General features: G+C 34.8%; 1 protein-coding gene across 6 annotated transcripts in view, besides 1 other annotated feature; it reads left to right on the plus strand.

The window, feature by feature from the left end:
- AP1AR (adaptor related protein complex 1 associated regulatory protein) overlaps nt 1-17626 on the plus strand; it is a 41324-nt gene extending 23698 nt beyond the window's left edge. For 2 of the 6 annotated variants that reach the window (NM_018569.6, XM_017008380.2), the window contains exons 4-10: nt 2288-2313; nt 5282-5378; nt 7504-7602; nt 9525-9583; nt 10250-10323; nt 11104-11232; nt 12660-17626. In NM_018569.6, coding sequence (NP_061039.3) covers nt 2288-2313; nt 5282-5378; nt 7504-7602; nt 9525-9583; nt 10250-10323; nt 11104-11232; nt 12660-12925 — 750 coding nt within the window. In that variant the 3' untranslated portion in view covers nt 12926-17626. Of the gene's footprint in view, nt 1-2287; nt 2314-2848; nt 2996-5281; nt 5379-7503; nt 7603-9524; nt 9584-10249; nt 10324-11103; nt 11233-12659 lie in introns of all 6 variants that reach the window. The other 4 variants (XM_047415927.1, NR_136622.2, XM_047415928.1 and 1 more) reach the window with 4 other exon arrangements.
- Nucleotides 15895-16014: an enhancer, noted in NCBI's record as "active region_21822". NCBI's record gives its function as "activates an Ori minimal core promoter by ATAC-STARR-seq in GM12878 lymphoblastoid cells {active_cell/tissue: GM12878}" and the evidence as "EXISTENCE:reporter gene assay evidence [ECO:0000049][PMID:35858748]".
- Nucleotides 17627-17768: the final 142 nt, after the last annotated feature.

The following is a 17768-nucleotide window of genomic DNA, read 5'->3' on the forward strand; positions in this document are numbered from 1 at the left end:
GACTTAAACTCCTCGGCTTGAGCAGTCCTCCTGCCTCAGCTGAGTAGCTGGGACCATCGGTGTGTACCACTTCACCCAGCTTTGGAGTAGGCCTATTCTTTATAGTTTTCATAGATTCTGATGTCAGATTTTCTACATGTTTATTCTACAGTTTCTGACTTTAGCCATCATCTCTTTTATCTTTTCTTTATGTTGATTTTCTACATTTCATCTCATACAACTCAGCAAGTTTTAAGATGCTTCTCAAATACAGAAGTGTTAAAAATGAGAAGGGAGTGCATTTTAGAATCAGCAAATTGTGTATATTTCAACATTTGATCTTAGTCAAAAGGCTAAGAAGCATTTCTTATGCATTCGTATAGTTAGAACTTTAGTTTGTATGCTAATTTGCAACTTCACTAAATTAATTGTGTACGTTTCTGCAAATTACTTAACCTCCCTGGGTCTACTTTCTACATCTTTAAAATTGGTTCGACTAGAAGAACACTGAAAGTTGACACTGTCGTTTTTGTTTTCTAGGGAAAGAAGAAAATGTATTAATCTTTTCCTTTAAAAATGTATTCTTTAGTCCAGCCTTTCTCAGAGTATGTATAGAATACTAGTCTCAGAGTGTAAATTAGCATGTAAAAGATTGAGATAAACTATTGTTAAACTGAATTATTTAAACTTGTTCAACTCAGCTCTTCTTAAATTAACGTGGGTAAAAATCCTTTTTTAAAATAATAATACATATTTTTCATCTGATAGGACACATTTTGGAAACTATTTTAGCCGTTTGTTCTCCCAGTAAAATATCATTCCATTTCATAGAACTTACTTCTTTCCCTTCGCAGAGGTCACTTTTGTCTTCATGTCTTTCTCTTAAAAAGTTTAAGCAAACACTGGACATGATATTTTTAAAGCATCTGACAAGTGTTAAAAGTAAGCCTTCTTTCAGCCTCCAGTAGAATTCATCCCAGCATCGTAACACTTTTCAAGAGAACTCGTGATTCCATGGATTTTCCTAAGATGCTTTTTGTTTGGTTGGCTGAGGATTTTTTAATTTTTGTTTTTGCTAACCCCTCTTCTCCTCTCTAATTTACTTCATATTTTGTGTTTGGTTTAGTTGAATGTCATCCTGTTTTGTAGTGCTACTTTCTAAACTAATGTGGACCATTTGGAATTTTATTCCTGCTATTATATTTTAACTTTCAGTTATGAATAGTTTAAATGTGTAAGAAATAGGCATAAACCTGAATAAATCCTGAAAATAGTTATGCTTTGCTTTGGAGGAAAAAACTACAGATAATTTCATAACCTTGTGAAAGAAAACAAAAAGTTGATTCTCATTATTGTATTTAAGTTGCTGTAAATGCTAAATTAGTGAATGCTGAAGCATTACTGCAGGGGAAATACAAGGTTAGGTTCCTGCAAGCCTCTGATCACAATATGTTCATCAACCAATCAGTATATAGCCTCATTCAATGTGCGTTTCTGTGTAAGACACTGTATTAAACACATATTATTGATTCATTAACTTTGAACTCACAGCCAATAGCACAAACTCATGCTTGTATGAAGCTTACCTAACACACATATTTTCCCCATAACACACATCATAGCTTTCTTGGACTTTAGGAACACTGGAATACTTAGAGGTCATTTTAAACAGAAATCACCAGCAAAAAAGCACAAAAATGCAAACAGTGTGGCATTAAATAGACTGTAAAAAGGATACTTGTTTATAGCATGAGAGCTGAAACAAGAAAGCGGAGTGTCTGTCGCCCTGTTCTACCTCATCTGGGAATGTGCATTGCTGAGCAACTCAAAATTTTTACTGCTCCATGCCTGTCCTTGAATGACCAAGAGAGCTCAAATATTGATTTTGTGGTTACAAGTAAATTTTCCAAGTAGGCAAATTTGCAAATATAGAAACTGCAAAAAAATGAGGATCAACTGTTAATATAAATGAGAACATAGAGAATATGTTGTCTCATACCATACTGACCACAGTTCATTTGGTATGTAACAAATATTTGTTAAAAAAAATTAAGAAATGTCCAGCAAATGGTTTTATGTAATTAAGCTAGATAGTAAACTAAATTTTGCTTTGGAGAAGTAGCAAAATTTTAAAGCTTTTTGTTTCAAATATTTTTAATAGTGAAATATATTTAATAGTGAAATGTATTTACTCTGATAAAAAATGGGTAAGTTGAAAGTATTTAGATTAAATAAAAATTGTATTGGTTACTTTAAATAGAATTTAGCTAATGAATTTGTTTTAATTGTTTAATTAATTTTTGTACAGGGGGAGAGCCCAGGAAGCAGTCATAGGTAAGGCTTTGTTAAAAAAAAAAAACAAAACTTCTATGCAAACTGTAAGAAAACTCTCTTAAGAAGTCAGGCTTTATCATTTGCTTGCTTTGAGACATTAAACAGTTTACATTTCAGAACTTTCAGATTTTTCTTTTTATAAGATTGAGACAAATATCATATATCTCAAAAGACTGTTTTGAATATTAAAGAATTTAATGTAAGTGCCCAGATGCTTTCCTGTTGTACCTGTTATATGTTTTTTAGTTTTCTTAAAACCATTTAATACTGATAAGTACGTTTCTTTTAAATTTTTTAACTTTATTGCCCCTTTCTTTCCTTATGCATTCTAAAACTTATTCTACTAAATTTTTTCACATCTTTTAATAGTAACTAAAACCTTATGCTATAATTATTTAAGCAGCTTTTAAATATTTTATTAAAATTGCATGTGTTACTTGAAGTATCTTTAAGTCAAAAGAGCATTCTTAATTTCAAGAGAATAGTTTTCATATACAATGTTATATTATGAACAAATAATCCTTACTTTTTTTAGTTTAGCAAACATTTATTAAGCAACTGTCGTGTGCCAAGCACCGTGCTAGACACTGGGATTTTAAAAATCAGACATAGTCTCTCCATTAGAAGAAAGAACATCCTGGTCTGGGAGATAGATTCTCGAGATGACTAATTTCAATATGAGGTAGGGAAAGCAATTAAATAGTGATTATAGAACATTCTAGGGAACCTTAGAGAAGAGGCTGTTTGCCCAAAACAAAATCCAAGAAGACATTTTTAAGGGGATAACACCTGGTGTTGATTGTTGAAAGGTTGGTTAATGCTAACTATCCAGGCAGAGCAGGAGGACATTAGAAATTTCATAAGCAAAGTGAGAGAATTGATTGTAAAGGGGCACAAGGAAAGTATGTGAGGTGATGGAAGTGTTATGTATCTTGCTTCCAGTGGAAGTTACATGAGTGTATACAATTATCAAAACAACTTTATGAACTGAACACTTAAAATCTATATTTCATTTTATTTAAGTTATACTTCAAAGAAAAAATTTTAAAGCCCTAATATATAACTAGGGCTAGCAGAAGTTAGAGCTGAAGGGACAGAAGTAGGAGATAATACCTATAAATGGCTAGTTAACCATGATAGTTACCAAGATCACCTAACTGAGGTGGGGGTTTGGGGAGAGGTGGAGCATGGTGAGAGAGCAAGGATCTGAGGATTGACTAGGCGGACACTAGAAGAGGATTCTGAAGATGACCAAGAAGTAGTAGGCAAAAAGAAGAACCAGGAGAGCTTGGGAAGCCGAGGGAGGGGAGACAGACAGACAGATGGGAATGGTTAACACTGTCCCATGAAACTGAGGTAGTAAGATAAGGACTTAAAATTGTGTATTGTATTTGGCAACATAGAAGCCATTGATTACCTTTGCTAGAGTTATTGGAGTTATGGGAGCAGAGGTAGACTGCAGCGAGTTGACAAGTGAATGGGAGGTAAGGACATGAAGGCAAGAGAAGAACAGTAGTTAAGAACAAGAGCTACACTACCTGGGGTTCAGATTCTGGCTTTGCCACATACTATATGACTTACTTAGCCATACTCTTAATCTGTCTTCGTTTCACTTCCCTCATATGTATAATCCTTATATCTACCTTAGAGGGTTGTTGTGAGGATTACAATTTGCTAATATATGTGAAGCATTGAGAAGAGAGCCAGGCACATAGTAAGTGCTAGGTATGCTGACTATTGATATTATACATTTAATTTCAGGACTTGGCTGAAAAAAAGAGGGAGCAGTAGCTTGAGATAGATACAGGTCAAATGGAGGTTTTTTCCTTAGTTTCTTCTTTCTTCCTTCCTTCCTTCACATGGAAGAGAGGTGCAAACAGACAAAAGGAATAGGTTAAAGGTAAAAGAGAGGTACTAATTGATAGAACAAGGTCCCAGAGAATTGCCTGGAGTGGGGCAGGAGAGATGGGCTCAATGGTGAGTGAGTCAAGAGTGTAAATGTAGTAGGTGACTCTGAACAAGTTAAGAACATTCCTCTTTAGAGGATGGTGAGGAGAATAGGAAGGATATATGTAAGTAAGTGGGGGTTGCCACAAAGTTGGGGCGATTCATGGTTGATACTCCTCATTTCTTAAAGTGGAGTGAAATTGCCTTTTAAGATAAAAAAAAGTATGAATAAGGAACTTGAGTATGTGAAGATTTTTAATTTGGTAGTGTAGGATATGTGAAGGAATTGCCACATATATATAAAAGGACTACTGCTGGGGTCCGAGTGCCAAATTGATGTCAGGTTTTCTCTAGCAGCCTGAAACAGGAAGGGCTGAACATGGAAATGACCCAGGGTCAGAATGTGAGTAAACCAAGTGAATATGGAATAATGATAGGAGTGTAAGAAGGTGAGTATGTTGGTAAGAAAGTAGTTCAGATCTGCCTTGGTGTCCATATTGGTTGTAAGTGAAGCAAGGCCAGAAGATGACTGGGACAGATAGACTGAGAAAAGGGAAGGATGAAGGGCCTGGGGAAGCCAGAGTGATTAAGCAGGATAAAATAGGAGGATTAAGAAGAGTTCCAGAATGGTATGACGGCTGAGATCAGGGTGTAATAGTGTACTGATGTTTATATTTTATGATGAGCATCTTGGGATATGGTTTGGGGTATATACCCATAGGTCAGATGGCTGAAGCAGAGCCAGATGAAGGTAAATAAAATCCACATTTCTTAAAAGGTAGCTGTAATGCTTTAAAAACTATTCTGATATTGTATCATCTTACCAGTTTATATACTAGAATAATAGCAAGTGTTAGAATGTATACTTTTTACTCTTAACAATTGAAGTTGTAGCAAATTGCTTTAACATTTTTAACAGCAAAATTTGAGAATTTCACTGGCTTTTTGAGTGTTTTATTTGGACTTAGACTCATCAGAAGTTTTTGTTTTTTCTTTTTCTCCTCCTCCTTTTTTTCTCTAGGCCTCTTACTGAGGAAGAAATTGTTGACCTAAGAGAAAGGCATTATGATTCCATTGCCGAAAAACAAAAAGATCTTGATAAGAAAATTCAAAAAGAGGTAAATTGTCTTTTATATTGCTTAAGTACATGTTATCATAAAGAGAGAATTGTCATTAAATAATATATTGTGTAGAGTCTTTGGACCTATATTTAGATATATACAGATGAATCTGTTTTAAGAGTTAAAAAAAATCATTCCAGCCTATTATAATTTCTTTTAGTTTGGCTTAATTTATCAGAAATCATATGCTGCCAAAAAATGGAGATAGTACATTCTTTTAAAAATAATTTCTTAATTCACAAAGTAGGAACTCTGGCAAGAATATGCACCTTGGTATTTAAAACCAACTTTTAGAGCAGGCTCACATCTGTAATCCCAGCACATTGGGTGGCCGAGGCAGACAGATTGCTTGAGCCCAAGAGGTTGAGACCAGCCTCAGCAACATGGCAAAACCCCGTCTCTACAAAAAATACAAAATTAGCTTGGTATGGTGGTGCATGCCTGTGGTCCCAGCTATTTGGGAGGCTGAGGTGGGAGTATTGCTTGAGCCAGAGAGGTCAAGGCTGCAGTGAGCCAAGATCATGCCACTGCACTCCAGCCTGGGCAGTAGAGTGAGACCCTGTCTCAAAAAGGAAACAACAACAAAAGCAAATTTTTAAAAAATTACCCTGTTTCACAATAAGTGGTTTTTTGAAGAGTTTTTATCTTGGTGTATTTGTTCTCAGAGAACCAAGTACTTATAATCATAAGTGTTAAAGTTATTTAATGTGTTTATTGAAATGGCCTATAATTATGGTTTTGCACCCACTAAACTAAATGGAATTATTCATATTCTGCTGCACATTTAAAATTTTTCTGTTTAAGACCGGGCTTGGTGGTCATAGTTCCAGCACTTTGGGAGACCTGTAGTTCCAGCACTTTGGGAGACTGAGGTGGACAGATCACTTAAGCCCAGGAATTTGAGACCAGCCTGGGCAACATGGTGAAAACCCATCTCTAAAAAAAAATACAAAAATTAGCCGGGTATGGTAGCATGCACCTATAGTCCCAGCTACTAAGGAGGCTGAGGTGGGAAGATTTTGAGCCCAGGATCCTCAAGACTATGGGAGGTCGAAGGGGAGCCACTAGACTCCAGCCTGGGTGACAGAGCAAGACCCTGTCTCAAAAAAAAAAAATAAATGCACACACACATATACATACATACATATACATATATTTGTCTGTTTAATGTGGGTATGGTGGCTAATGCCTATAGTCCCAGCACTTTGGAGGCCAAGACAGGCAGATTGCTCAAGTCCAGGAGTTAAGAACCAGCCTGGGCAACTTGGCAAGACCTCATCTCTGCAAGAAATACAAAAATTCACCCGGGGTGGTGGCGCACGCCTGTAGTCCCAGCTACTCTGGAGGCTGAGGTGGGAGAATGGTTTGAGCCCAGGAGGTCAAGGCTGCAGTGTTGGTGCCATGGTACTGCAGGCTGGGTGACAGAATAACACCCTGTCTCAAAAAGAAAAGTATGTTTAGGACCAATTAGTGATTTCAAAAGCATTAACGTAAGCTATACAGTAGCTGTTAATATTAGTCTAAAGAAAAAAATTTGTGTTGAAATTTGATTTTCAAGTTAACTTTAACATACAATAGATATTACTAAAGCAGCTTATGTGCTCTTATGAATAGCAAGAACTTACATTTGAAAGTAATTTTTTAATAGTTTGATAGTAATGAAATTAAGGAGACATGTGCATTGATGTTAATTAGATGGCAAGACATGAATTTTGTGAAAGCTGAGTTCACTTTGGTCACAGTGACGTAATTGATCTTAAAGATACTGGATTTATGAGGGCCAAAACCGGCAAACTAGTGAGGGTGATAGGTGTTGGAATGATTGTTTAAAATGAAGATCACTGCAGATTCTAAAGAAACACTTCTATATTTATACAGAATAGATGCTACTGCTTCATAACTCAGTTTCTAAGGAATTCCGTAATGTGTTTTATATCCTTTGGGTTATTTTGTAAAAGAAAAAATTTAAACAATTGCAAACATTTCAATTCTGTTATGCTTTGTAGAGATCAATTATTTTTTAATAATTTATTTTTTGTTTTATAAATAGAAGCATTTTATTTTTAGAGCAGTTAGACAGGTTCTGATTTTTGTTAATCCTTATCGTTTTGTTCATGTACAGTTAGCCTTACAAGAAGAGAAGTTAAGACTAGAAGAAGAAGCTTTATACGCTGCACAGCGTGAAGCAGCCAGGGCAGCAAAGCAGCGAAAGCTCTTGGAGGTGAGGGGAAAAGACCCCAGCATATATTAGGGTTGCTTTTCTCCTTATTTTCTCTGACAAATCTTAGTTGGGACTCTTTTTTTCCTATTCTCAAGGACTTCTTGTTTAACAACGAATGTGTTTACCCATATATTCTTAAGAATTTTCAAGGCAAATTAGTCAGTCATTAACAGCTAGAAATAACATCAGATTACATGCTTGATACTCAATGCTATTTAGCTTTAGATTAGCAAATGCTGATTCCTGTTTATCCTAAAGATAAATTTTAGTGCTATAAAATTCAGTATTCTTTTGGAAAAATTAAATGTACTCTTAGAGGGAAAGCGTTGCAAAACTAGCCTTTAAATATAATTGGCAAAGCATTTTGTTTTGTGAGGGTTTTTTTTTTTTTAACAGTTTTTTAAATTGCTAGAATTTCTTTTTTTCCTGGAACTGGATAAACTGTGCTATTTTCCCCATAAAATTATTACTTGCTTCTCATCTTTATTCTTGTGTCCTTGGGAGATTGGGAGTTTGGGTCTTGAGAAATCGTTGGAATATTATCAGAGAAGGCAGCAGATTTACCGTATCTTACCATGCTGCATTACCATAATGCCTGGCAGCTGTAAGTAACAGGCATTTATGGAACCCTAACTGTCAGGAGCAGCAATGTTTTACCTTATTTAATCCTCACAACAATCTTATGAGATAGTGTTTTTAATCCCTGTTTTACAAATGAGAAAACTGAGAGTAGGATATGTTTTGTAACTTGCTTGAGATCCTACAGTTAATAAGGGCCAGAGCCAAAGTTCAAGCACAACAGTGCTTAGCTGGTATCCTTAATATCTTCCTCCATATTTTGCCTGTTTGGATTCACCTCTGTAGTGTTAACTGAAGTAGTATAAAGATCATGTCACATTGTAAAACTTAGAGAAACTGAAATATCATGTCTATCATATTGTTACATGATTTCTATGTGAACTGTGTCCTTCTCCCCCCAACTTTCCTTCATTTTTTTCCCTCTCTCTCTCTGCTGTTTTAGCAGATTATATGAAGGAATATATTTTCTTTTTAAGTCAGTTCTAAATAATGAACAAGTTTTTAACTTTTACCTTCTACTAAGAAAAGTATTTTTCTGGTTATCATATAGACACTTTTTACTGTAATAGATTATCTACTGCTTCCCTTTTAAAGACAAAGCATTCCATATGCAGCATCCATATGGGTGATTTCCAGGATTCTCTGAGTTTTTCCTACCCTGGTTTAAATATTTGATGTAGGAACACATTACAGTCTATACAGCACATACTGACACACAGACATACACTGACACCCACCAAGTCATTTGATTTTCATGGGAACCCTGAGTTTGCTAGAGCAGTAATATAGCTATCTGTAATTTATAGGTGAAGGAACAGTAGGTAAAGGCCATGCCAGGGATATATAGCTAATAGCTATCAGAGCCACAACTCCCAACAGTTCTTCTAAATCTTAGCCAATTGCTTTTATTATTTCTGAGTCAACTCAGCCAGATCTTATAAATCTGTTGTTGTATTGCTACTTATTTCACCCAGAATGGAACTTCATGTATTGTTTTAACTATTCCTTTCCTGCTCCTCATTTTTCCAGTTGGTTGGAAGTTCTTGGGTATACTAAGAATGTTAAGGATATCAATACATATCTGTTAAAAAAAAGTTATTTTTTAATAACACTATGAATATTCTGGCCACTTCTGGATTACACATAGATAAATTCAGAAAAATTCTTCCCATAAATAAGGGGATATAGAATTGAATAGTGATGGATTTAAGGAAAAATATATCAACAAAATAACTTTTTTTTTTAGAAACTAGAAAAAAATACTTTTTGGTGTTGCATGAGTGGTTTTAAAATATATAATTTTACAACAGAGTGATTTTTTTTATTACATTATGTTTCCAAAGCAAGAAAGGCAGAGAATTGTGCAGCAATATCATCCTTCCAACAATGGAGAATATCAAAGGTAAATAGTGAAACATATGCCTCCTTCCCTTTGTGGTAGAACATTTTATTGCGGTGTAGAGCATCATTCACCTCAAGATGTGTATATACGCATTCATGTTTATGTGTTCCCTAAAAATTATTCCTTCTAAAAGACATTGTCTTGGAAGAAAACTGAGAACATTTAAGTTGAAACATTATTATTAATTTAAACTGACTTTATTGCATTTTTAAGAGTGGTCTCATTTCCCATATAGATGTGATACAATAGCTGAATGCCTTTGGGTGAGTTGTTTATACCCCAGTTGTTTGTGTTTTCCTTAGTCCCTCTCTTTCTTATAATAAAGTTTATGTGTGGTCATTTTTTGGAAGAGATATTTCAGTGTCACATTTCCACAAGTATCACTACTCATTCAAAGAATATTGTTCATGATTCATTATTGTAAAGTTGGACTTATGGCTAAGCTTTGGAGATTGGACTTCAGGATTAATGAAAATCTTCTTATTTTCAGTTTCATTTTAGTATTAAGAAAATTAAGAACTATTTTCATTAGGTTATTCTAATTGTACAGCAGTTATGAATTTGTATGACATAGGTCTTCAAGCCACAATGCCATCATTAGCTTATATATTTGTCATATTGCAGCTACCATGAATATATTAAAAAATTATTTCACTTTTATTACAGTTCAGGACCAGAAGATGACTTCGAATCTTGTTTGAGAAATATGAAGTCACAGTATGAAGTTTTTCGAAGTAGTAGTAAGTTTTTTAAAGTATTTTCTGTACTTTTTATGCCACAGTAAACAGATAAGTAGAGATTCTGGCTCTGTTTCTGTAGAAGAACTTTCTGTTCTTAAATTTGTAATTCCCAGATAGGTCAATTTCCTAGGTAGTCATTAATTATACAACCTCATCTTTTCTTTTTAAAAAGAAGTTGGAGCAAAGAAAAATCTCAGACTATTTCTGTAGATCCATATAGGAAGTCAAGCACTCCTTTTTCCATTTCTACTCTGATCCTAACCCTTCCCTTTCCAAAAAAAAGAAAGGAAAGGTGGGAGGAAGTAATAGAAAAGTGTACTTATTTTTTACTTATTACAGATTGACTTATAAGATTAAAATATTTCCTCAGGTTTCAAAAGCAAAAACTCTTATGCTTCCCAATACTGGAAGCATAGTATGGTAGTGGTTCCTTTTGAAAATATAGGTTGCTTTTTGTTTTATCTTTCTTGTTCATTGTTTTTTGTGCCGCTTTGTAATTGACTGTTAAAAATATTATCTAGAGTTAATCATATTTGAAAAGTTTATAATCATTTATATTTGCATGTTTGCTATGCTTAGATGGCAAAAAAAAAGAGAGAAAAGTTTCTTTATACTGTTCCTAACAGAAACTTACCAATAAAATGATTTCCAGAATTATTTCTTATGAAGCTAAAAGTAATAATAATAATATTTAGAGACAGATAATTGTTACAAAATAAAACGGCTGTTGCGGTGGAAGAGTAGATGAGAGTATTCAATTGTATTTCGTGTATATTCTAGGACTCTCATCAGATGCTACAGTTTTGACACCAAATACAGAAAGCAGTTGTGATTTAATGACCAAAACTAAATCAACTAGTGGAAATGACGACAGCACATCCTTAGATCTAGAGTGGGAAGATGAAGAAGGTATTTTATAATTCACAATTTTACCTGAAAAATTTAACGTAATCTGTGTTGATTTATGTAAATCTACCTTGGTCTTTATTTAAATGGAAATAAATTCAAGGCCTTGAAAAATCATATAAACACTTTTTAGACCATTATTGTATTGGTGATGATCTCTGTTGATAAAAATTTTTAGAAAATTGCTTAATTTTTAATGTTTCTTTAGATTTAGAAAATAAATGTCGATTTCTTTAAGGTTTTTGTAATCCAAGCCCATGACATTACTCAGTATGAAGGATTACTACCCCCTTGTGGACAGTCCAAAGCCAGAAGTTAAATATAACTTCTCTTAGAAATAAATCCACAGAAACAAATCCACCAGATACAGATCTACAAAGTTATATTAGTATCTAGCTCATATTTTTTTCTTATCTATAGAAATAACTTGTTTTACTGGGTTGAGTCTTTGTGATTTTTCAGGAGTGACAGACAACGGTGATACAGATTTAAATGTTCTTTTATGGTGGGATCTGAGCTTTAAGGTCAAAAAAGAAAATCATTAAATGTGTCTGGGAATATTACAATCTCTTTGTGAATCCTAGATTTTAATTCTGTTACCAATGTTGATTCTGTACTTACAGATTCAAATTTCTTTTCTGTCCTGTCTCCCTTCCTTCTGCCAGTAAAATGACATTATTTTTTCCTTTCAAGATTATTGACACTTTCACTTTACCAATTTCATTTTGTTCAGAATTAGATCTAGAACAGTTTCCCATAGAAATGTCTCTACTCTGTTGTGGTAGAGTCAGAAGAGCATAATACCACAGACTTTGGAGCCAGACTGAATGGATTAAAATTCTTGCTTCACCACTTTTTAGCTGTGTGACCTTACCCAAATCACTTAGCCTTTCTGTCCCGGTTACCTCAGCTATAGAATGAGAATAATGATAGTACTGTACTCCATAGAGTTGTTGGGGATTAAATCAGTTCATATCTGTGGCATATATGTCACATTAACTGGAACCTAGTAAATGCTGGAAAAGTACATGTTATCATTAGAGTGATTGTCATTCTCTGGGAAATGAAATTATGTGGGTAGGAAAAGACTTTGGCAGACATACTAACTTGGCTATATGAGACTAACAGCAGTTGAAATCCTCCATCCATTCTGTTTTATTTATGAGTCTTCAGGAATTTCATCTTATCGGATAATCGATGCATCAAAACTGCCCTTTGGTGACTGTTAATATTTATTTTTATCTGAGGCATACTTCAGGGTTAGAACCCAACAATTTCCCTTAAGAAGGCCTCCATGGGACTGGGTCTTTAAGTTAATTCACACATCAAGTCTGATAGTTAAATAAAAACTACATTGCTAAATTTGGGAGTTTTTAAATATAGCTTTATTATCTGTTCTGAGATTTTTGAAAACTCTGTTCAAATCATAGGAATGAATAGAATGCTTCCAATGAGAGAACGTTCCAAAACAGAGGAAGACATTCTACGGGCAGCACTTAAGTATAGCAACAAGAAGACTGGAAGTAATCCTACATCAGCCTCTGATGATTCCAATGGGCTGGAGTGGGAAAATGATTTTGTTAGTGCCGAAATGGATGATAATGGAAATTCCGAGTATTCTGGATTTGTAAATCCTGTATTAGAACTGTCTGATTCTGGCATAAGGCATTCTGACACAGATCAACAGACTCGATAGGGTAAAATTGTGTGACCTTGTTTATCAGTTATGACCAAATGTTAAAAACCAACTAGAATGTATAAGTGATTGTGCTTAGCCTTTTTGTAAGGGAGATGTGTAAGAAACCATGTTGTAAATGCTTATTTTATTACAAAGGAGTAGGGATGATAGGATCTGAATTGATACAGAATTAAGTGCAATTTCATCATCTGCCTTCTGCTTTTCAAGACCAATTTAATGGTCCTGTCATGTTACTGATTAAATTTACTTTGTCTTGTCTTTATAGCATTTCTGTTTACTATGGTAGATTTCCACTTTCAATTTTTAAAATTAATTTTACTTTGAATGATTTATGAAGCCTATTTCATTGTCTAACTATGAAAATATTAAGACTTTTTTGTTAATTCTCAGCCGATGTGAAGGAAGCATGAGGAGGGATCGTCAGATTCAGATTTAGAATAGTGTTCCCGTTTCCAGCATTATTTATTTCTATGACTTCTTTGGATTTTATTATCTAATAGTAAGTACAGTTGATGTGGGTAGATGACTCTAAGAAATGCTGAAGTATCGGCATTACATGTGTTTATTTACATGTCCTAGTATGATAATGTTGATTCAATCTGAACAAAAGATAATATAAAAATAACCCTTCAGAGTTTGGACATTTCAAGTTGGTAATAATAAAAAATAATATTTAAGAAGATATATATATATATATATTTAGTTTTTTCCACTTCATTTTACATGCCACTATATTGACTTTAATTGATATACAGTATTAAGTTTTTAGGTGCCATTATTTTTAAAAAATTCTATATTTCCAATGAACGATGTTAGATTTTACACAGAACATATTCTCTGCATGATTTCAGAAAAGAAAATCTAAAAAGGTAATACGGGTATTTCAAATAAAATCCTTTCTGGTATGAAAGGCTCCATTGATTTTATTAAGCCTTCCTTTACCTTGTAGTACAAGGTGCTTTAATGGGATAGAACTAAGCATATCAATATCTATAACTGCATTTTGTGCTAGACAATTACTGTTCTTTTCTCTAAAATGTATATGTCAATTTACAAGGCCAGGGATAGAAAACACTCCATAATTGCTTTCCTTGATTTTGCTGAGGATTTGGTATGATTTTAGTAAGCAAACTGTTTTTTGGTTTTTCCTTAATGTTTTTAATTTTTTTTCCTCTTGCAACAATGACGGTGCATGTTCTTATAAATATAGGAAGGTCCAGATATAAATAGTAACCTAAAGTTCTTGCTGTGCTTAAAAAAAAAAATCATGTGGCCCTTTCAATATTTGAACTGCTAAGCAATGACATCTGTAGTTTTATCTCCTTTTTTATGTCATAGAAATTAATATGATACTTTAAATATGTAAATATAATACATTAGGTAATGCTATTATTTATATCTGTCTTAACATAATTTAAGTTGTAGCTGTGTCTTGGAAATATTTTTAAGGTAATCTATATTCACATTGCCTGTGTTAATGCTTTTTAAAGTTTGTATACATCAGATGTATATTTTTGGTTTGGCATAAGCTACGATTGTAATTTTTCTTGGCTTTTTGTTCATAAAGAATTTTTTGAAGGAATGGTAACAAATGGTAATTTACAAATGGTTGTGAATAAACACATTTTTACACTTAAAGGTAATAAGTTATTTGACTATTATTGGTTTTACTCCATAAACATGCAGGTATTCTGATTCCTGACTTGTAATTATTTTATTAAATCTGATGTGAAGACAAAAGTAAATTAAGAAAGCAAGATGGAACTAGAAAATGTGTTTTAACTGTTAAAAAAAAGTTAACGTTTTGTTTTGTGTTTATAAAAAGTACTAGAAATAACTTATTCAGCAAATATTGGAATAGTATTTAATATTATTGGAACTGTGTCTGGTGGGTGTTAGGGACATAGAAGTACAAAGACATATAAGGTCTCTGCTCTTTGCTTACCATTCTGGTGAGAGAGAGAGACAATAATAAGTAAACATACATGCAAGAAAATCACAGGTCACAGTTAGAAAATATACAAGATTATAGGAGAGAGAGTAACTGGGGGCCAATTGACTACTTCTCATAGGTCAGGACAATCCTCTCTGAGGAGATAGCTTGGCTAAAACTTAATTGTTTTAAGTTTTAGTTGTTAACTTGTTAATTGTTTACTTGGCTAAAACCTAATTGTTAAGCAGGAAACAGTCAAGTAAAACCTGGTATGAAGCATGTTATAAGCAAAGGGAACGGCAAGTACAAAGTACCTGAGGTGGGAAAGAGTTTGTTATGTTCTGTGAATAAAAAGACCACTGGGAATGAAGCATCATGAGTGAGGGGGAAGAGTGGTATGAGATGATACTGGAGTGGTAGTTAAGGGCCAGATGATGCAAGACCTTGTAGACCAAGAATGAGTTTTATTTGATGTGTAATAGAAAGCCACTGAAATTTTTTGTAAGCAAGGATGTACAGTCATCATATACACATTTTCAAACGATTGCTTTAGTTGCTGTGTAGAGAATGGATTGTAAGAAGGCAAGAGTGGATATATAGCACTCCCAATGGAATATAGTGTGCCTTGGGTTTACAATGGCTGTGAAAAGGCAGAGCAGATTTGTTTTAGAGGTAGAATCATCAGGATTTTCTGATGGGTTGGATATAAGACTAAAGGAAGGGGTAGAATCAGATACTACTGTAGGGGTAACACATCTGGCATGGTGCCGTGGCTACCTTGCTCACTGCACATAGTCCACGTAGGCAAAACTCAACCACAGTCTGACACAGGTCTTGGTAGAAAACATCGTGATCCTCTCTGGATCCTCCATGGCAAGATAGGCCATCGTAAAGGAGCTGTCAAAGGGCCATTTATCTTGCAAAATACCTCCCTGTCTTGCAAAAGGCTGCCGTGAGGCAATTTCTCATCCAGCTGGTTTCCAGTGACCTCACTCTCATTCAGGTGCAGATACCGACTATAAAAATGTTTAGCTATAGTTTAGAGTTGGCTCCTCAACAGAGCTATTTCTACTTGTCATCTGTCATCTTGTCCCCTTGGTTCAGTGTCATCCAGGGATGTCCCTAAGGACCAGGTATACAGGGAGCTGACTCCATCCTGATACTGCTTTTGCTGTCTGTGTAAATAATAAACTGTCTCAATCTATTTGGACTCATTGTCTCCCTACTGGCCAAATCTATAGATGTCTGACAGCCAGCCTAGTAGCTGCAAGTGCCCTTAACTATAACTTCTTGGTTCTGATTTGACTTCAGTGTAATGGGAGGAACAGGTTTGGGAAAGTGGGGAAAATGAAAGAGTTCTATTTGAAAAGTTAACTTTGAGGTGTTCATAAGATATTTGGATGAAGATGTCAAGTAGGTGATGGGATATATGTCTGCAGCCCAAGAAAGAGGTCTAGGTTCAAGTTTGGGAGTCATTAGTAGGAAAATGGTATTTTAAGTCATTAAACCAGCTGAGTTCACCCCAGGGGAGCACATAGGCAGAAAAGCCCCACTAAGTGTTGACATTTAGAAGTTGGGGGTAGTGAAACAGTCGTCAAAAGAAACAGATACAGGAGGAATGCAGGAACCAGAGAATAGTGTCACAGGAGCCAGGAAATAAGAGGGCTCAACAATAGCAAATGCTTTGAAAAGAGGTCCGCTGCTTTAGTTGCATTTGGAGACAGTTACACAAATGAAGGGATGGAAACTGGGGAGTTGGGGATGAAGAATAAAGAACAGCTAATGCAGACAATTTGAAAAGAGAGCAGAGAAATGGGGTAGCTGGAAGGGGATGTGGAGTTATAGAAGGGTTTTTATTTAAAAGATACTAGCTTTAGAGTAGATAGGCAGATATGAACAGGGCAGGACAGCGCCACAAAGACTGTGAGGGCTGGTGACAGGGAAGGGAAAATCTAACAGGAGACATCTTGAGCTCATGGGCAACAACTTCCCAATAAGAATTTAAGATGGCAGAGTTTGGCCTTCCTCTGGGGGCATGACCAGACATGCGCAGTAAGGGGCAAAATGACAGAGTTTGACAAATATATGACCTTCCCATGGGGCTTGGCCGGGAGTGCTAGCCCAGTAAGGGAAAATTGCCCTAAGAGAGCATGTGCATAACTTCAATCACCAAAAGGCCCTTCCAGATACTGGCAAACCACTGCACATACAGGGAGGGAAGAGATGGGGAAAAAAATAGGAAATAATAAATCTCTAAGAGCCCTAAGACAAAGGTCAAGCTGGGTACTCAATCTTTTGACGTCCCCCTTCGTTCCATCCAAGTGTACTTTTTTTTGCTTCAATAAACTCTTGTTTCTGCCTTAAATATAATTCTGTCTCTTGGCTGAATTCTTTCTCCCAAGAAGACAAAGATCAAGGACTATGGAGCGTGCCCATACTCACCACTGGTAACACTAGAACTTTTGAAATGATATATTTTGGAATTATGCCCGCTTTTTTTTCAATAGATAAATATATTTTTCTAGCAGAGGCCAGAGGTTTCGTTTAACTATGTAAACATGTCCTAATCATAATTTCTTGAGAATACAGACATCTAAAAAAGATTTTATGTTAAATATGTAGTGTTTTCCCATCTTCATTTATTTGGTATTTCTGGTTAATTGTCTGACAGTAAAGGAGTTCACAAAAGAAATCTGAGATTCCACATTGAAATCCTAAATGTAAAACAACAACAACAATAACAATAAAAATGGAGAGAAACAGAATCCCTGCATCTGATTCTTGAATCCTTAGGAAATATTAAAGGTGAAAATGAAATTAAATTTGGAAAATGATATTTAAAATTGTATATTATTATTTCAAATTTAAAGATTTATTTCCTCCTACCCAGATATAGTAATGTCCTCT

Source organism: Homo sapiens, chromosome 4 (assembly GCF_000001405.40).
Source record: "Homo sapiens chromosome 4, GRCh38.p14 Primary Assembly".
NCBI classification, from domain to species: domain Eukaryota; kingdom Metazoa; phylum Chordata; class Mammalia; order Primates; family Hominidae; genus Homo; species Homo sapiens.